At 37.9% G+C, this 21571-nt stretch overlaps 1 long non-coding RNA gene across 3 annotated transcripts in view; it reads right to left on the bottom strand.

The window, feature by feature from the left end:
• Window positions 1-21571, bottom strand: part of LOC105375760 (uncharacterized) — a 257327-nt gene that overhangs the window by 201709 nt on the left and 34047 nt on the right. For 2 of the 3 annotated variants that reach the window (XR_007061183.1, XR_928653.3), the window contains one exon: window positions 17908-18019. This is a non-coding gene — a long non-coding RNA (uncharacterized LOC105375760). Of the gene's footprint in view, window positions 1-5556; window positions 5806-17907; window positions 18020-21571 lie in introns of those variants that run through there. The other variant, XR_007061182.1, reaches the window with a different exon arrangement.

Genomic DNA, 21571 nt, shown 5'->3' with positions numbered 1-21571 from the left:
TTTTATAATTACACCAGTCACATTCGATTTAGAGCCCATCTTAATCCAGTATGATCTCATCTTACCCAATATATCTACAAAGACCCTGTTTCCAATTGAGGTCACAATCTGAGGTTCCGTAAATTTGGAAGACACAATCCAACTCAGTAAAGTAGCTCAGAGTCAAGGCTCCAAATTCAGACAGGCTTAGATTCCTGTCCTAGTGGCCTCACTAACTTCCTCATGAACTTGTTCCCCAATTTCTATATAGAGAAAGTAAGAATAGCAATGGGACCCACTGAATTGTGGTGAGAATTAAACAATAACAACAAAAGTCAATAACATTGACTGAGGGCTCACCATCTGTCAGATTGTTTTAAGTTTTTCTTTTTCATTAACTCACTAATACTCATAGCAGCTTCATGAGATAGTAGAATCATTATCCCCATTTCTCAGATGAGAAGGCTGAGGCCTGAGAAGATTAAATGATTCTCACAAAGTCCCACTATTGGATTTAAATTCAGGAGTCTTGTTTTTATGAAAATATCCTTAGCTGAGCTCCCAAAAATCTAGGAACTGTCCAATAAATGAGAGCCTTTTTTATTAGTACAGCCAGAGTCCATTCTCTACCCCACATCTCTCGCAGCTCAGGGTCAACCCAGGTTGCTCCTATCTGTCCCCAGAGTTCAATGCTTGAGCACACTTACTATCTCACCTCATCTTACAACCATTAATCACACAAGCACAACATAAAAATAATACAAGCGTTGGAGACAGTTATTTCTAGTAGTAATCTCAGAGTAGATGCATAAAAAATAGACATCCCCGACTCGATTAGGAAGCTTGGATAATGGAATATCTGCAGCTACATGGGGAGGGCTCCTGGTAGCCAAGTAGCAACTGCATGAAAGTTGGACCCAAAAGCAGTAGCCGGGCTCAGACCTCTATCCAGGCTACTTTCCCAGGTCCTGGAACATAGCCACCTCCAAGACTCCAAGCCATACCTGGAGCACCTGACCAGGTTAGCTCAGATTCCAGAACTATTATCCTTCTTCTCTATGCCTGTCTTCCCCATCCAAATCTGACAGCTTTTCTTAAGCCTAGACTTAAAAAGGTTGTTACAATAGCTTCTTTCCTAATATATGCTGCCACTTGCCCTGTAACCTCACTAAGTAAATCACCCCCACCCCCATGCATCCAGAGAGCCTTTACCCCTCCCCAACCTCCACCAAGGACACCACCACCAGGGAGCAGCAGCTGGTTCCCTGACACATCTCCTACTACAGCTTAGAGATGTGGGTGCGTCTCACAGATCATAAAACACATGGAGTTTGTCTCAGAGACCTTCTGACTCTTGCTTTTAGGGTCCTGTTTACAACTTTTATAACTTCACCCCTCTTTCCTGGTATACAATGGTGATATGGTTTGGCTGTGTCCCCACCCAAATCTCACCTTGAATTGTAGCTCTCATAATTCCCCTGTGTCATGGGAGGATCCCAGTTGGAGATAATTAAATGATGGGGCAGTTTCCCCCATACAGTTCTCTTGGTAGATAATAAGTCTCACAAGATCTGATGGTTCTATAAATAGGAGTTCCCCTGCAGAAGCTCTCTTGTCTGCCACCATGTAAGACGTGACTTTGCTCCTCAATTGCCTTCCACCATGATTGTGAAGCCTCTCCAGCCATGTGCAACTGTGAGTCAATTAAACCTTTTTATAAATTAGCCAGTCTTGGGTATGTCTTTATCAGCAGCATGAGAACAGTCTAATACAAGTGGCCTCTTTCATTCTTTCATGTATTCAGATATTTATTCATTCGTTCAACCAGTAATTTGCTGAACATCCAATTGTGTGTAGGCCCTGTGTCAGTTGCTTTTATTTATTTATTTATTTTTTTTTTTGAGATGGAGTCTCACTCTGTCACCAGGCTGGAGTGCTGTGGTGTGATCTTGGCCCACTGCAACCTCCCACTCCCTGGTTCAAGCAATTCTCCTGCCTCAGCCTCCTGAGTAGCTGGGATTATAGGCACATGACACCATGCCCAGCTAATTTTTGTATTTTTAGTAGAGACGGGGTTTCACCATGTTGGCCAGGATGGTGTCGATCTCTTGACCTTATGATCTGCCCACCTCGGCCTCCCAAATTGCTGGGATTACAGGTGTGAGCCACTGTGTCTGGTTGTCAGTTGCTTTTGTATACTTACAGATTCATTATTTTACTCAAAATCCATGAATCTACTCTGCCTACCACCATATTATGTGTATGGCTATAAAGATAAATAAGGCATCATCTAGATACAAAATCCTGAATACAAATCTCACTGTCTAGTGGAACTAAGTACTATGTAAAAATACACACTGCAATTCAGTAAGGCACATGCTATATGTGAAGTAAGAACAAAATGATGTAGAAACGCAAAGAAGGTGATAAATAATTTTACCACCCTTTCACTGTACCTACCATTCTATTCCCTTACAAAGTGAGCGTTGTGTTAATTAACTTGAGTGTGGCAATCATTACACAATCTACATATACATCAAATCATCACATTGTACACTTTGAATATATACAACTTTTATTTGTCAGTTATATCTCAATAAAGCTGGAAAAAATTCTGAGTCAAACTTTTTCTCAGCTAACTGTGACACTGAGAAGTCATAACATAGACTGTGCTGCAATAACAAACTTCAAAATCTCAGTGGCTTAACTCAACAAAAGTTTATTTTTACTCACGTAATATGTCATCCAGGGTCTCTGACCAATACTGTCACTAGCGACTCAGATAACAAATGCTTTATCATCCCAAAAGGAAGCTTAGTTGTTACTCATACAAGAAAAACAGGTAGAAGGCGGATCACAAACTAGCTCTTAAATGCGTCAGTCCAGAAGTGATTTTGGTCAGACAGAGCCATATGGTTCTGTCTATCTGCAAGAATGTATAAGCATTTGTGTGCATATGGGAGGAGGCACATTGATAATCAATGCACATCGGTAAAGTCTGCTACAAAAATCTTTAAATATCTAATTTTTAGAAGTAAATGTGTATATTTAAATTATACACATTTAAAATTGTGTATATTTAAATATATAACATGATGTTATGGATAGTAAAAAGGTGAAACAAATTATATGTATCATTTTACATAGCTACCCTTTTTGTTTGTTTGTGTGGCAAAAAGCAGCTAAAATCTATAGGCATATTTTGGAGATATTGTGGGTTCAGTTCCAAGCTACCTCAATGAAGCCAATATTGCAATAAAGAAAGTCACACAAATTTTTTGGTTTCTCAGTGCATATAAAAGTTATGTTTACACAATACTATAGTCTATTAAGTGTGCAATAGCATTATGTCTAAAAAATAAATATACTGGCTGGGCATGGTGGCTTATGCCTGAAATCCCAGCATTTTGGGAGGCCAAAGCCCGAGGATCATCACTTGAGACCAGGAGTTTGAGACCTGGGCAACATGACAAAACCTCGTCTCTAGAAAAGAAAAAAAAAAATTGGCCGGGCATGGTGGCATGAGCCTGTAGTCCCAGCAACTTGGGAGGCTGAGGTTGGAAGATCCCTTGAGCCCAGGATGTGGAGGCTGCACCAAGCCAAGATTACACAACAGAACTCCAGCCTGGGTGACAGAGTAAGACCATGTCTCAAAAAAAAATATTTATACACTTTAATTTTAAAATATTTTATTGCTAAAACATGGTAATGATATGATCATCTGTGCCTTCAGCAGGTCATGAAGGTTTTGCTGATGGAGGGTCTTGCCTTGATGTTGATGGCTACTGACTGATCAAGGTGATGACTGCTGAAGGCTGGAGTGGTGTGGCAATTTCTTAAAATAAGACAAAAATAAAATTTGCCACATCAATTGACTTTTACTTTCACTAAAGATTTCTCTGCAGCATATGATGCTGTTTGATAGCATTATATCTACAATATAACTTCTTTCAAAATTGGAGTCAATCCTCTGAAACCTGCTGTTGCTTTATCAACTAAGTTTATGTAATATTCTAAATCCTTCTTTTTACTTCAGCAATGTTCACAGCATCTTCACCAGAAGTAAATTTCATCTTAAGAAACAACTTTCCTTTTCATCCATTAGAAACAATCTTCATGATTCACGGTTTATCATGAGGTTGCAGTAATTCAGTCACCTCTTCAGGCTCCACTTCTTTCTAGTTCTCTTGCTATTTCCACCAAATCTGCAGTTCATTCTTCCCCTAAAGTCTTGAACTTCTCAAAGTCCTCCATGAGGATTAGAATCAACTTCCTCCAAACTTCTGTTAATGTTGATATTTTTACCACCTCCCATGAATCATGAATGTTCCTAATGGCACCTAGAATGGTGAATTCTTCCAAAAGATTTACTTGCCCAGATCCTTCAAAGGAATCACTATCTATGGCAGCTGGAGCTTATGAAATGGATTTTTTAAATAATAAGACCTGAAAAATCTAAATCAGTCCTTGACTCATGAGTTGTAAATAGGTGTTCTGTTAGCAGGCATGAAAACAACATAAATCTCCTTGGGCCTCTCCATCAGAGTTCTTGGTTGACCAGGTGTGTGGCCAATGAGCAGTAAAATTTTGAAAGGAATTTGTTTTTTCTGAGCCATAGGTCTAAATGGTGAGTGTATAACATTCAGCAAACCATGCTTTAAACAGACGTGCTGTCATCCAGGCTTTGTTCTTCCATTTCTAGAGCATAGGCAAAGTAGATTTAGCATCATTCTTAGAGGCCTTAAGATTTTCAGAATGGTAAACAAGCACTGGCTTCAACTTAAAGTTAACAGCTGCATTAGCCATTGACAAGACAGCCTACCTATCCTGTGAAGCTTTGAAGTCAAGAATTGACTATTCTTCTCTAGCTATAAAAGTCCTATATGGCATCTTCTTTCAATATAAGCCTATGTCATCTACGTTGAAAATCTGTTTAGTGTAGCCACCTCATCAATGACCTAGGCTAGATCCTCTGGATAACTGGCTGCAGCTTTTGCTTTGGCACAAGCTGCTTCACCTTGTACTTTTGTTTTATGGAGATGGTTTCTTTCCTTAAACCTCATGAACTAACCTCTCCTAGCTTCCAACTTTTCATCCTCAGCTTCCTCACTTCTCTCAGCCTTCATAGAATTGAAGAGAGTTAGGGCCTTTCTCTGGATTAGGCTTTAACTTAAGGGAATGTTGTAGCCAGTTTGATCTTCTATACAGACCGTTAAAACTTTCTCCATAATAGCATAAGGGTGTTTACTTTTTTATTATTTGTGCAGTCACTGAAGTAGTACTTTTAATTTCCTTCAAAAACTTTTTCTTTGCTAACTGATTGGTGCAAGAGGCCTAGCTTTCTCCCTATCTCAGCTTTCAACACGCCTTTTTCACTAAGCTTAATTATTTCTAGCTTTTGATTTAAAGTTAGAGACTTGTGACTCTTCCTTTGACTTGAACACTTAGAGGACACTGTAGGATTGTTAATTAGCCTAATTTCAAGATTGTTGTCTCAGGGACTAGGAAGGTCTGCGAACAGGGAGAGAGGTTGGGGAATAACTGGTCATTGGAGCAGTAAGAACCACACAACATGTATTGATTTAATTCACCATTTTATATGGGCACAGTTCACAGCATCCAAAAAAATTACAGTAGTAACATCAAAGATCACTGATCACAGATCACCAGAACATGTATAATAATAAAAAAGGTTTCAAATATTGTAAGAATTATCAACATGTGACACAGAAACACAAAGTGAGCAAATGCTGTTGGGAAAATGTCACCAATAGACTTGTTTGATGCAGGGTTTCCACAAACTTCAATTTGTAAAACACATGATATCTGAAAAACACAATAAAGCAAAGCACAATAAAGTGAGGTATGCCTGTACTCATTTAGTATGAATCCCAAATGCAGGACAGTTTTATTATCTATCAACCTCATGTTAGAATTTTTAAGTTGTCTATTCCAATAACCTAATTTTACAGACAGCCAAAAGGTAGGGTTCTCCTCTTCCAAATTACTTAATTTTCAATTAATATCTTCTTAACTTCTAGTCTTTCCATCATCCACAAGGATATTAAGGAGGGTTTATGGTCCTTCATATGGATATCAGCTTTTGAAAGGTGTAAAGGATTAAAGTAGAGACTGCAATAATAAATTAAGATGGTAGATATAAGCTCAACTATATCAATAATTACATAAACATAAATTAGTCAAATTCACCCATTAACAGATAAAGAATGACAGATCAGATTTAAACAATACAAATATATGGTATTTAGAAAACTATATGGGTATGCAAAATAAAGTGTATATGAAGTTAAAAGTAATGAAGCAAAAGATCGTGTATTCTATTGAGCTCAGTATTTCTCAACTTCAACACTTTTAACATTTGAGGCTAGATAATATTTTACATGTATAATCCTGTATATTATAGAATGTTAACACCATCTCTGAACTCCCCTGCTGTGTAACTGTGTAACTCCCCTGCTGTCTAACATCCCCCTCCCCTGCTGTGTAAACCAAAAATGTCTCCAGACATTGCCAAGTGTCCCCTGGTGAAGGTGCAAAATTGCTCCCAATTGAGAAACACTGACCTAAAACAGGTTAGTTTTCCTATTTATTCATCAGTAAGAGGGCATTAATGATAGTATCTTTCCTCAAAGATGGTTATGAGGGTTTTATGAATTTACACATACATTGTAGAAAAAACTCTTGGCACAGAATGAGTATTTAAGTCATTTAAGAAACTGCTATCATATCAGCAGTAACGGTGGAAGGAATAGGAATAGGAGTATTATTGTAGTAAGGGTGTCTTCTTACAAAGGGTACATTTTCAACTTATATTCAAAACAACAAGCTGACTCTTCTGTAAAGGGGGAAATCTACTCATTTATTTAATCCTTGTACCTGTAGCAAGGATTGAGCTAGACTATGGGAATAAACTCATAAATACTTGCAGTAAGGTTATAAAAGCGGTAAGATGAAACCAAAAATGAAAAACAGGAGAGCTAGAGAGAGAAACAAGGATAATAGAAATCTAGTGAAATACAGAAAGACAGAGAGACATGCAGGCAGACCGACCAACAACTGTTACTATTTATTGGGCCACCTCAAATCCTAATATGAACCTGCAGACCCTCAGCTTTAGGGACTCAATTTAGCAACACAGAGCTCAGGAAACTAAAATAAAACGTGAGCCCAGCCTGAAATTTCTCCTGAGATACTTGAGAGAAATAAATAGAAAATGACCATTAGGAATAACCCACCATACCAAGACTCACAGTATTCTGAAAGATAAAGCCTCACTAACAATGAGTTCACAAATCACATAGAAAAGTCCCTGGCAGAGTTAACATTTTTGATAATGGTGATGGTGAAGACAGAGCTAACATTTTTTGAGCAATTATGTGTAATGCTCTTTTAATTATTTTAAATATAATATTAATTCCTAATATCTCGATAAAATAGATTATATCAATATGTTCATTTTACATTTGAAGAAAGAGAGGCTTTAATAGTTAATGTGTATTAAGATAACTCAGCTTGTACTTAGCAAGCTTGAGATTCAAACCATGCATTCTGACCCCAAAATGTTTTCTTAACCATTTCTAGATTGTTTCTTCATATAATAGACAAGCAAACTATGGCTAATGTCAGAAAACAAGAAATTAGAAACATAAGAAAAAAAACACTGTGAAAGAAGGAACAGATACATAGAACTTCCATAGAACTTCTGTAAAGAAACAAAGCAGTTATTGAAGTTGAAAACTCAATGGACAAGTTAAACAGTAAATTAGACACAATTAATTCTTTAGAGAGAGCCACGTAATGAAAAATAGATCTGAGGAAATAGATACCATACCACTGCAAAAAGAACCAAAGAGGTAGCAACTGAATAAATTATGTCATTCCAACATGTCTATTAGTAGTTACACAAGGAAAAAACAGATAAAATGAGACAAGATATGATGTCTGAGAATTTTCCGGAATTGAGGAAAACCATGAATATTCTCATTAAGAAGAACGTTGAGTTATATAAAGGATAAACAAAACAAGATACACATCTAGAAATCTTATTGAAAAATTCAGGAAACCAAAGACAAAGAGGAGGTCTTGGGAGCAACGAGGGAGGGAAAAAAAAGCCAGATTTGCTGAGAAAAAATATGTTTCAGACCAACATTAGTTTCTCTACACCAACCTTAGAAACTAATAAACAGCAAAATAATATCACTGAAACTTTGGGAAAATAAGCCATCAGCTTAGAATAGTATACCCACTTAAGCTGTCATTCAAGACTGAGGGTGTAATAAAGAAATTATAAGACAAAATTTGAGAGACATAATCCCTAACAGATCATCACTAAAAATAAAATAAAATAAAAAATAAATAAATAAATAAATAAAGCACTAAACAATGTACTTCATGAAGAAAGAACGTAAACCCAGAAGGAAGATATATGCTGCAAAATAGAATGATGAATTTTAAAAATGGATAAACTTGTAAGTAAACCTAAACAATACAAAATCATATAACAATGGTTTTGATCAACTTAGAAGTATCAAAACAAGGGGAAATTAATAATAAAAAGTCAACACATAAAATCAGTGGTGAGAGATTGGAAGAGTTAAAGAATTTTAAAGCCTTTGCATCATTCTGAAGTAGGGAGGGAGAGATACTGATTATCATAAACTGTTCTAAAGTACACTAAAAGAATGGAAACAGCATTAGAAAGAAACAAACTACCATAATGATTTTACTTTAACTAAACCTTGTGTTTTTGCAAATTCAAAACAATCCCCACCCAGAAACAGATTCTAAACAGAGAAAGTTACACCTTAGCAAAGACTTGCAGGGGTCAAAATGTGTTTTGGATAAACAAAAGAGGCTCTAACTAGAGTCTGATATCAGGAGTCAGGGAATAGTACTTTAGAACTGGAATATCAAGCCTCCTGCACCCTGGGTTGGAAAAACTCTTCAGGGCTCTGCGAAATCAATATTAAACTTTATCAGTGAATACCATTTGTCTTAGTCCATTTTCTGTTGTTATAGCAGAATACCACAGACTGGGTAATTGATAAAGAATGGAGGTTTATTTTGGCTCATGGTCCTGGATGCTGGAAGGTCCAAGAGCATGGTGCAAGCATCAGACCAGGGCCTCCTGCTGCTTTATAACATGGTGGGAGATATCACATGGCCAGAGAGGAAGCCAAGCTTGCTTTTTATAACAACTCACTCTCATGATAACTAACCCCCTCCCACAAAAACTAGCTTATTCCTTTAAGAATGACAGTAATCCATTCATGAGAGTGGAGGCCACACAACCAAAGCACCTCCCACTAGGCTCCACCTCCCAGCACTGCTGCAGTAAGAAATTAAGGTTCTAACAAATGAACTTTTGGTGGATACATTCAAACTATATCACCACCATAACATTAGTAAGATGAATATGAGAATTGTTAGGGAGCTTCTCAAAATCTCCACATGGAAGCAGCACAGCCACTCCCCTTCTCGATTCATTCGTCAGAACTTGTCACATGAATCTGCCCAACTGCAAGGGGATTAGAAAGTCCAGTTACCAAAATGCCAAGGAAAACAGGAAAAACTGAATAGTGGTAGGTATTAATAACGTGTACCTCATCATTTCACAAAATTCTGAGGTGCCATACTTTTTATGCCAGGCTAAAATAGATGAAATGTGTTTCATATTAAAAATAAATAGATAAGCTTAGAGTCCTTTCCCCACATCTCTGGATTTTTCTTTAGTCCTAGAGATCTGAATGACTACTGCAAATGAGAATAATATTTGATTATGTTAGAGTTCTTAGCTTATAAATATATATTGCAAGGTATTATGTTGCAATGCTTGATGTCATACATTTATTGATCACTTATTATGTGCCAGATATCATAGACACGGTGAATTACTTCTTCCATTTTGAATCTGTGAATGGAAAATAAAAACTCAGGACCCCAATTCACTATGCCAAAAGAAAAAAATTAAGCTGAAAGTTGAGTCATTTAAGAAGCTGCCTTTTCTTTTGTTACTAAGCAGACAGGTATAGATAAAAGGTTAAATATCTCCATAGGTAGGATGTATGTTCACCTTATCCTATGTAAAGTGCTAGATTTACTGAGCACAAGAGAAATACATAATTAACTCTTCTGCTACCTGCTCCTTTTCTCTTTCAACATGTGGATTATCATACCCTCCTTCTTTCTCCTCCAGCCCACTTTTCTCCTTTACCTATTGAAGCCCTCAAAATCATCTTCAGAGAAAGGCACAGGCCACGACTGTTTCTGTGATTCCATGCTTATTTTTTCCAGGAATATCCTTTACCTTGGCAAATAAACTAAATTGATTGAGACCTGTCTCAGATACTTTTTAGTTTACAAATCCAAGGTATTAGAGGCTCATAGATGTTAAATAACTTACTTAAGATACCCAAAACAGTAAAAGACAAAGTAAGTTCTTCATCCCTGGTTTCTAACATCAAGTGTTGGACTATTATCAGAATACTGTATTTTCACTCTTATGGCTGTACTGTCCAACCTGTCCATGGAAGTAAATAATTGTGCAGCAAAACATGTCCATTTGTTCATTCCCCCTTCAGGCTGACTCCCTGGATGGTGCTCCTTTGTTTGTATGTTTGTTTTGTTTCGTTTTTCTATACCTGGACACTCTTTCTTAATTGGTATTAAAGTTGACCCTCAGATTTGGCTTTGGAAAAATTCTCAGTATCCTTTGTCTATCAAATCAGTGGCTGCCTTTGACATACCCTCCAAGAGTCTAGTGGACATGCCCTCTGTCCAGCCCTCCTCTCCCACCTTAAGGAAGGCCTGCCCCTTCTGGAGTGTGTAGAGGAAGTTATTCATCTTTCCCCTATCCCACTTTAAATCTATGGTTTTAGTGGAAATTTGTGATACCTCGAACTTTGGCTATAATGACTGGGTATGCAACCCATCATGATCTGAACAGGGATTTTTCAAACTATAACAGAAAAAGGAGAAGAGGAGGTTACAGACTGAAAGAGAAAGGAAGGAAGGGAGAAAGAAAAAAAAGAGGGGTTTATTAGTTGTTAAGTTAAACAATTTAACTTAATCATCTTTTTTAAAGGGCTTATCTCCAAATATAATGTGTAGGTAGTAAGTAAGGGTTAAGAGCTTCAACACAGGAGTTTTGAGAGGTCACAAGTCATCCCATAACACAGAATGAGAGAGGGAGAATGAAAGGAGATAGAAATAGAAACACACACACACAAAGAGACAGAGATTGAGAGACAAAGTAAAAGAGTATCTTTTCTCTACAGTCTAGAGCAGTAAGGCAGAAAAGGGAAGGAGAAGTGGATGCACATAAAGAAACAAGGGTGGGTGAGGAAAATATTCTGGTTGGTAATTTTCTGGTTTTACTTTATCTTTGTCTTATTTATGGTCTCTATGGCATTCAATAAATTCCTTGAGCCCATCAGAAATGAATTTCCATTATGAATAACCTAAGTCCCCTGACCACTACAAAGAGGCTTGATTCAAATCTGGAGTCCAAATCTGCTTGGTCTTGACATGTAAATATCAGTATAAGCCTTCTGGAAGGAAATCCCAAGATTTGGGGGGTGGGGGGCTATATGTAAATTTTCTTCCTAGACAGAAATGTTCACACACGGATATGACCCTCTGAAATGGAACTCCTGATGTGAAGGAATGGTTTCATTATTCAAATTCTGAATAGATTTTACAAACAGGTAAAGGATATCATAATAAAAAATTAAATAATTATAAACATTAAAAAATACTTATTCTCATTACTTATCAAGGAAATTCAAATTTAAACCACAATGAGATACTATTTTTCTCCTCTTGGTTTTGGCCAGAGTGTGAGGAAAGGAACACCCTAATCTATTGCTGGCTACAATTATAAATTAGAAAATTCATTCTAGAGTGCAATTTGGCAATGTATTTCAAAAATCTTTGATCCAAAAATTTTACTTCTACAATTTTGATTGGAAAGAATTCTTCCTTAGAAAAAATAATTTTGGGGCTACTTACAAATTTGCATTTGCAAGAATATTTATAAACTATAATTTATTATGAAGATATCTGTAAATCACATAAATATCAATCAATAGGACATCAAGAGCAAAGCCACGGTAAGTATATACAATACTTTGTTTTAAACTCTTTTTTTTTTCTTTTTATTATTATACTTTAAGTTTTAGGGTACATGTGCACAACGTGCAGGTTTGTTACATATGTATACATGTGCCATGTAGGTGTGCTGCACCAATTAGCTCATCATTTAGCATTAGGTATATCTCCTAATGCTATCCCTCCCCCCTCCCCCCACCTCACAACCACAACAGTCCCCGGTGTGTGATGCTCGCCTTCCTGTGTCCATGTGATCTCACTGTTCAATTCCCACCTATGAGTGAGAACATGCGGTGTTTGGTTTTTTGTCCTTGTGATAGTTTCTTGAGAATGATGGTTTCCAGCTTCATCCATGTTCCTACAAAGGAAAGGAACTCATCATTTTTTATGGCTGCATAGTATTCCATGGTGTATATGTGCCACATTTTCTTAATCCAGTCTATCGCTGTTGGACATTTGGGTTGGTTCCAAGTCTTTGCTATTGTGAATAGTGCTGCAATAAACATACATGTGCACGTGTCTTTATAGCAGCATGATTTATAATCCTTTGGGTATATGCCCAGAAATGGGATGGCTGGGTCAAATGGTATTTCTAGTTCTAGATCCCTGAGGAATCCCCACACCAACTTCCACAATGGTTGAACTAGTTTACAGTCCCACCAACAGTGTAAAAGTGTTCCTATTTCTCCACATCCTCTCCAGCACCTGTTGCTTCCTGACTTTTTAATGATCGCCATTCTAACTGGTGTGAGATGGTATCTCATTGTGGTTTTGATTTGCATTTCTCTGATGGCCAGTGATGGTGAGCATTTTTTCATGTGTTTTTTGGCTGCATAAATGTCTTATTTTGAGAAGTGTCTGTTCATATCCTTTGCCCACTTTTTGGTGAGGTTGTTTGTTTTTTTCTTGTAAATTTGTTTGAGTTCATTGTAGATTCTGGATATTAGCCCTTTGTCAGATGAGTAGGTTGCAAAAATTTTCTCCCATTCTGTAGGTTGCCTGTTCACTCCAATGGTGGTTTCTTTTGCTGTGCAGAAGCTCTTTAGTTTAATTAGATCCCATTTGTCAATTTTGGCTTTTGTTGCCATTGCTTTTGGTGTTTTAGACATGAAGTCCTTGCCCATGCCTATGTCCTGAATGGTATTGCCTAGGTTTTCTTCTAGGGTTTTTATGGTTTTAGGTCTCACATGTAGGTCTTTAATCCATCTTGAATTCATTTTTGTATAAGGTGTAAGGAAAGGATCCAGTTTCAGCTTTCTACATATGGCTAGCCAGTTTTCCCAGAACCATTTATGAAGTAGGGAATCCTTTCCCCATTTCTTCTTTTTGTCAGGTTTGTCAAAGATCAGATAGTTGTAGATATGCAGCATTATTTCTGAGGGCTCTGCTCTGTTCCATTGGTCTATATCTCTGTTTTGGTATCAGTACCATGCTGTTTTGGTTACTGTAGCCTTGTAGTATAGTTTGAAGTCAGGTAGTGTGATGCCTCCAGCTTTGTTCTTTTGGCTTAGGACTGACTTGGAGATGTGGGCTCTTTTTTGGTTCCATATGAACTTTAGTTTTTTCCAATTCTGTGAAGAAAGGCTTTGGTAGCTTGATGGGGATGGCATTGAATCTATAAATTACCTTGGGCAGTATGGCCATTTTCACGATATTGATTCTTCCTACCCATGAGCATGGAATGTTCTTCCATTTGTTTGTATCTTCTTTTATTTCATTGAGCAGTGGTTTGTAGTTCTCCTTGAAGAGGTCCTTTACATCCCTTGTAAGTTGGATTCCTAGGTATTTTATGCTCTTTGAAGCAATTGTGAATGGGGGTTCACTCATGATTTGGCTCTCTGTTTGTCTGTTATTGGTGTATAAGAATGCTTGTGATTTTTGCACATTGATTTTGTATCCTGAGACTTTGCTGAAGTTGCTTATCAGCTTAAGGAGATTTTGGGCTGAGACAATGGGGTTTTCTAGATATACAGTCGTGTCATCTGCAAACAGGGACAATTTGACTTCCTCTTTTCCTAACTGAATGCCCTTTATTCCCTTCTCCTGCCTAATTGCCCTGGCCAGAACTTCCAACACTATGTTGAATAGGAGTGGTGAGAGAGGGCATCCCTGTCTTGTGCCAGTTTTCAAAGGGAATTATTCCAGTTTTTGTCCATTCAGTATGATATTGGCTGTGGGTTTGTCATAAATAGCTCTTATTATTTTGAGATATGTCCCATCAATACCTAATTTATTGAGAGTTTTTAGCATGAAGGTTGTTGAATTTTGTCAAAGGCCTTTTCTGCATCTATTGAGATAATCTCTTACTTAAAAGTGACAGAATGGACAGAATACCATTACTAGCTCAGATAAATTACTAGTTACTAAGATGCTAAGTATCTAATACTAATAGTATACTAATTCTAAGATAAATTACTAGTTACATTACTGCTAGCTAAGATAAAATAAGTAACTTAGTGTTTATGTAGCCAAAATCTCCAATAGTAGATCTGGTTTCAGGTACTGAGGAACTACGAATTCAAGTGATTAATTTAATAAATTTTTGTTGTGCACCTATTATAGTCAGGCAGTGGTTGAGGTTCTTAAGACACATTAATAAACAAAATAGAGAAAGTAATCCTGTCCCCGAAAGCTTGCATTTTATACTATGTGATGGGGTGTGGGGGTAGATGATGAACAAGTAAATTATGTAAAATGATATAAGATGATAGCTGCTGTCAGAACACAAGATACAATAGAATATCTAAATGATTATAATTTATGCATAAATTATAGGGTTAAACAATTGGCTACTTAGTGCATGCCTCGTAGAAAAGATGAACCTTGAGTGGAAACTTGAAGGAGATGATAAAGGAATTAGCCAAGCAAATACTGGGGGAAAAAAACATTCCAGGTAAAGCCAATGGCTAGAGTTAAAAGTTTCAATATAGATTCATGGCTGGTGTGTTCCGAGAACCTCTGAAGGCCTCTAGGGCTAGAGTGAAGTGAGATTGAGGGAAAGTTACAGAAGAGATAGCAAGGAACCAAATTAGATAGACCTTTGTAGGCCATTGTAAGGGCTTTGGTTTTTACCCTAGGGGATACAGGGAGTCACTGTAGGACTTTGAGTAGAAGAGGAACATGGTCTCTTTACTTGTTTGAAGGATCACCACATACTATTTCCCAGGCAGGGAGCAAGGACAGCATTGGAGTGTCTCTGTAGATCTCCCAGTGAGGAATGGCCGTGGATCTACCCAGGGTGTCATCAGAGGACATGGTGAGTGTAGTTGGACTCTGGGTACGTTTGAAGAAACTTACAACAGAATTTATGGACAGACTGTTTGCTTAGTGTAAGTGAGAGGGGTCAAAATCTTTGAGAAACTACAAGGATAGGGATGTGCAAGGCTGTGGGTAGAGTAGGCTAGGGTGTAGAGGAGATGAGGAGTTCAACTGAGGATATGAAATATTGTTATCAGAGAGCAGCAGCCTTTTCCTGTAGATCTTGCAGAAAAGCCTAAGGGAGGATCCTGGCCTGGCATCTGTGAAGCTGAACCACAGGAAACAGTTCCCTTTGTAGGTCAACTCTGGACTCATCACTCTGCTACTGGGAATTTTTTATCCTGGTCCCAGGATCCCCCTGTGAACAGATGGGTGGAGGACAGTGTCCCGCAGGGGAGAGGCTTGTGTTACTACCAGAGCTGGGAAGAGACACTAGGGAGGCAAAACATCCAATATTCCTTACTGTGCTTTCTTCTCTTTTTTAAAATAAATCTTTATATAAACTTTCTATATTCTAAGTTCTTTACAAATGAGTATTTACTTACTTTATCCTCATAATAATTCTATGAGGTATTAATTATTAATCCTCATTTTACACATAGGGAAACTGAGGAAGAGAGAAGTCAAATGACTTGCCCATTCAGGCCACACAGTTTGTAAGCAGCAGTGCAGAGTTTAAATCCAGACCATCTGGCTGTGCAAGCCACATTCTTACCATTGTGCTTTTTTAAATGATGATGGTGATTTTTATATATAGACAAGGAAACAGATCCAACAGTGTGCTACATTTTTTAAAAAGGATTTTCAAAATAGCACGATCAATATGATTTATTTACATATGAAACTTCACTTTAAAATACATGAATGGAAGGGTAGGTACCAGCAGGGCAGCAATAATAGCTAATATTTATTTAGAACCCAATATTATTCTAAAGAGTTTAAGTGCAGTGTTTCGCCTGAAACACCTAACAGCCCAATGAGGTAGCTTCTTTCATTATTCCCCTTTTATAAAAAAAGAAACCGAGGCACAGAACCTAAGACGTCCGTCCAAGAACACACAGTTAATAAGTAACAGGGCCAGGATTCAAGCCCTAGAAGCCTGGCTCCAGAATCCAAAAACCTTTTTTTATTTCTTTATAATTTTCTATATTCTCTAAAATTATTGCAACAGGGTAGTACCATTGTTACTGTTACACATAGCAATACAGCAATATTCATTTTGAAAAAGAAAAGTTTGTTTGATCACTAGTATCACAGTGGGAAAGAAATCCTATGTAACCATGGGGACTCCAATAACTAAATGTGATCTGTGGCATGGCGCACTGAAGGGTCCACGCTATTGGGAACTTTCTAAATTACATTGCCTTGGGTCTCATGAAGCAAACACTCTGCCTCCAACCCCTTTGCCAATAGCACACAGCAGGTTCACTTCTCAAAGTTATGCAAAGTGCATTGTGCAGGTGTCAGCATTGAGGCAGATAAAATTATTGCAATTATGAACTTCCAGCTGCTTTGTGCTCCCAGGGCGGTCCTTGCTGGGGGCCTCTGAAAGCACAGAGTAAACCAAAAGGATGTAAAGAAATAGGTAGCGTGGGCTGTATTGCATTTAAGCAGCAGAATCTGAAAAGGCAGAGTAAAATGGATATTTATGGGCATCTCAGGAGCTTCCTCTCCCTCAGGATTGGAGTCGGAGACTGCAAGCATTATAAGGACCACTCTTTTCAAAAAGAACAATAAGAACAAAGGCCCTAGCTAGCTGCCAAGACCCCTGCCAGCATCACCACTGTGCACTTCTAGACCTTCTAGCAGACTCCCCATGGAATCAAACTTCTGTTTTTCCACCTCCTGATTTATGAAGGATTCACACTGTCATCCCTCTCCACACTCCTTACTAGATCAAAAGATACTAAATAATTAATAATAATAATAATAATAATAATAATGAACTATGACCGTAGATTTTGCACCTTCTCCTGGTTCTATACTGTACAAAGCACATTAGTGTATAAACTCCAATTTTTACAGCAACCCTGCAATTTGCATACTTCTGATTCAGTTGTACAGGTGGGGAAGCTGAGGATTAGAGAGGTTAAGTGACACTTCCAAGGCCACACAGCTATGTAGTGTTGGTGTCAGAATTCAAGCCCAGGTTCAATGATTTCTGAGACCATAACCTGTCGACTCTAACAGATGGCTTCTTTTCTCAGACAATCTGAAATCTTTTGGTCCTATCACAGCTTCTGTAGCAGAGGGGAGGTGAAATAAATATTTGATTGATTAATTAAAATCAGTTATGTCTTCTGAGGAATTATAGGGGAAATTGAATGCTTATACTTCTTTACCACTGGGAACGTTCAGCCCTCACTCTTCTACTTCTTGGAGTTCAGCCTGTAGCTTTCAAAGCTCAGCCCAAGGGCCTCTGAAATCATTCAATATAGGGTGCATATACATCAAACATTTAACATATGTGACATATGCTGAGTTAATCCCAGTATCCTGGAAAGAACACCTCCAAAACCAGAAGTATGAAATTTTGCTCACCTAAAGATTCTGTTCTTCCTTGGCAGCACAGACTTGAGTAATCCATTAGACTCTCAGGCATGTTTCTTTCTCACCTAATGGGAAGCATGTGTGTTCTACTTCTTTTATAAGTCTGTTGGGAGAACAAAATTAAATTGAGCTAAACCATACACAACACTTAACACGAAGTGGCTGCCATATAGTATGCACTCAACAAATATTTGACTTGATGTTGCAGTTGTTCTTTCAAAGCATTGCAAAAATATAAAGTATTGTTACGTATATGATTATTATATTTTGCGTTCCCCCAAAATACACAGCGAGATCTGAGAAAGCAGGGACGCTGGGATTTTTTTTTCTTTCATCACATCTATGTCCAGACATTCGTCATCTTTCACCTGAATTACTTAAATAGCTGCTTAACTATTCCTTTTCCTTTTAACTTCTTTCCTCCAATTTATTCTCCACAATCAACAAAACAAATCTAAGTCCATTCTGTGAAAAAACCTATCAGGATGTCCCATTGCATAGGGAATAAAAGACAAAGTCTTTGGCATGTTACATAAAGTCTTCCATGACCATGAACTTATCTTCGAGCCTGATCTGCCTCTACGAAACCTCCCGCCCTATTTTCCATTAACCCTGTGGTCCATTTTATATGATTTCCCCTTGAAAGTAGGATTCCATTCTCATTATCTAGGCTGGTCCCATCTTCTGTAGCTCACTTTACCATCTTCTGCTTCTACCCCAGTGGACACAGGTACTACCTCTCCAATCAAGCCAAAGTTTTCTAATCCCCAAGCACACAAAAGTGCCCTTCCCTCTCAAACACTCAATCAGGAAAAGTCCTACCAATCTTCAAGACTGTGTTCAAATATCACTTTCTCAGGAATGTATTTCCTGACTCCCCTGGCTGAGTCAAATGAGCACTGAGTGCTCCATCAATACTTGGATCTCACTTTGATTACAGCACTTGTCACATTATATTGTGGATGTTTGCTACATGTCTTCACCATCCCACCATCTATACTATTAGTCCATAAGGCAGGAACCTCTGATCCATCTTTGTTTTTCTAGTTTCTAACACATAGAAAGCATTAAAAGTAATTCTAAATTTCAGAGGTAAAGAAAGAAAGCAAATATAATCAGAGGCCTTTCCCAAGCACTGTGTATAGGGAATTTTTCATTTGAATGTATTTGGTGCTATCATTAAAAATCATCAGAAAGGTAAATAATAAGAAGTGAAAGATGAAGAAGGCTGAAATGAGAATGGGAATAATATGGGAACTGGGAAAAATAATGATGACTATGCAATGGAATTGTCAGTGAAATGAGCAACTAACTTAAATTAGGAACTATTCACAAAAAAAAATTGTGAGGATAATTTGGAAAAAAGTTTAAGAAGAGCTTGTGTGGAAAATAGAAATTGTTAGCTTTTATATTTAACAATGACAGCTATTAGAACATGACATGGGAGCAAAAAGTAATTATGTATAACACAAGTTCAGCATGGTGGACACTCAACTCATGGTTACTGACTGATCAATTATTATTTGAAGAATGTGACCTGCAAGTTGTTTCTTTAGTTCATGGTACAACACGTGTATTAACTGCTTTAACTAAGTCAATATTACAAATATTCCAAAAATCAGTGTTTTAATCAGCCAGAGCTGCTATCACAAATTACCATAGACTAGGTGGCTTAAACAATAAACATTTATTTCTCAGAGTTCTGGAAGCTCGAAAGTCCAAGATCAAGATGCCAGCAGATTTGGAGTCTGGTGAGCACCAGCTTTATGGTTCATAGACGAAGCCTTCTTGCTGTGTCCTAACATGGTGGAAGAGACAGCTGAGCTCCCTTGGGCCTCTGGTATAAGTACACTAATCCCTTTCTTGAGGTCTCCAGTCTCATCACCTGATTACCTCCCAAAGGCTCCACCTCCAAATATAGTCACTCTGGGGATTAAATTTCAACAGATGAATTTTAGGAGGACACAAACTTTCAGTCTGTAACACAGTGTGAAAATATTTCTTACATACTTTATAAAAATAACATACCACAGAGGAACAGCATGGGCATGGAATGAAGGAGCATGAAACAATGGAGGTAACATGGCCGTTGGGAGTTCAAATCTCACCCTCCTTGTGTGATGTTGGAAACTCTAATTTCCTATCTATGTCTCCATTGTTTTTCCTCTTTAAAATGACGGGAACCACACCTTTTTCATAAAATTGTTACAAAAATTAAATGAGCTAAAATAGTAGGTTAGTTCTTTGATTTTTTTTTCTAAAAATTAATTGTTTTGGTCCAAAGAACAAGACCTGGTTACTGGTTCTGATCTTTCCTAGTTTTAAATGAACATCCATAAAAGGCAAACTGTCATATCACATTGAACTTTAATTTCAATAAAATGTGTATCTCATGCTCTTCTTCACTTCCCTGTGTAATCCTGGCACCTGCAAGGCTTGTGCTTGCTTCCGTCATTGCAGCGGCAGCAGCCTCATTATGAATTGTTCATAATTTCATCAAAGTCTGCATGTTTACTAACTTTGGGTCTGAGCTACAGCATTTTCATCTGTCATTTTTATATCAAACATATTCAAGGATCACACAAAACTGATAACCTGGGGAAGGCTTGCTCTCCTTTTGCTCTTGTTCCTGTCTCCTTTGATTTTCTAAATGGGAATTGTTCTAATGTGTGTGTATCTCAAAGCTGTCTGCATAATTCCAATTAAATGGACAGTGGACAAGTATTTATTGGGTGGGAGTGGGCCAGAAGCTAGGATGTACATTTTACATACATTATCTCTAAACCTATAATTTAGTAAACAAGCATGGTGACATGTAAAATCTATTTATAGCCCCTTATTACAGATGAGGAAACTGAGGCTCTGAGAAGGCCTAAAAGTTGGGTGACAGCAGAGCTGAGCTTCATGCGGGGATCTGTTTGACATCACAGCCTTTGCTCTTTCTGGGACATTAGGCAAACTCTCATGCTATAGCCTTTCTCCAAATGGCCTACCACTGTCACTCAGTTAATATATACTATAGTTTCTTGATTACATTTTCATTACTCTGGTCAAGTTGGAAAATTCCCTGACTGAAGTCATGAGTCCCTTATTTCTTGCTTCTTTGACTGAAATCTTGAATCTCTTATCAATTCTTGTTATCCATTCTCAAAGATTTGGAATCTATTTTCATAGTCTTCAGTTGCCAAGCATGCCCTTGATCCAAAACAAATAAATTACTAAGAAAAGCAGTGAGGTTGTCATGTGCTTCCCCCTAAATTCTATAGGCTGGTTTGGATGGAATAGAAGTGTCCTCAGGAGGCCGAGGCAGGCGGATCACGAGGTCAGGAGATCGAGACCATCCTGGCTAACATGGTGAAACCCCATATCTACTAAAAATATAAAAAATTAGCCAGGCATGGTGGCAGGTGCCTGTAGTCCCAGCTACTTGGGAGGCTGAGTCAGGAGAATGGTGTGAACCCAGGAGGCAGAGCTTGCAGTTAGCCAAGATCGAGCCACTGCACTCCACCACTCCACCCTGGGCGACAGAGCAAGACTCCATCTAAAAAAAAAAAAAAAAAAAAAAAAACAGTGTCCCTGCCCCCAGATCACTACAACTGAGAGCTGGCCATACCCACAAGAGCCCACCCTACCCATCAGTCACCCATTTTGTCCA

Source organism: Homo sapiens, chromosome 8 (assembly GCF_000001405.40).
Source record: "Homo sapiens chromosome 8, GRCh38.p14 Primary Assembly".
Classification (NCBI taxonomy): Eukaryota; Metazoa; Chordata; class Mammalia; order Primates; family Hominidae; genus Homo; species Homo sapiens.
The sequence above is the reverse complement of the archived record's forward strand: the minus strand, read 5'-3'. Positions and strand labels throughout refer to the sequence as shown.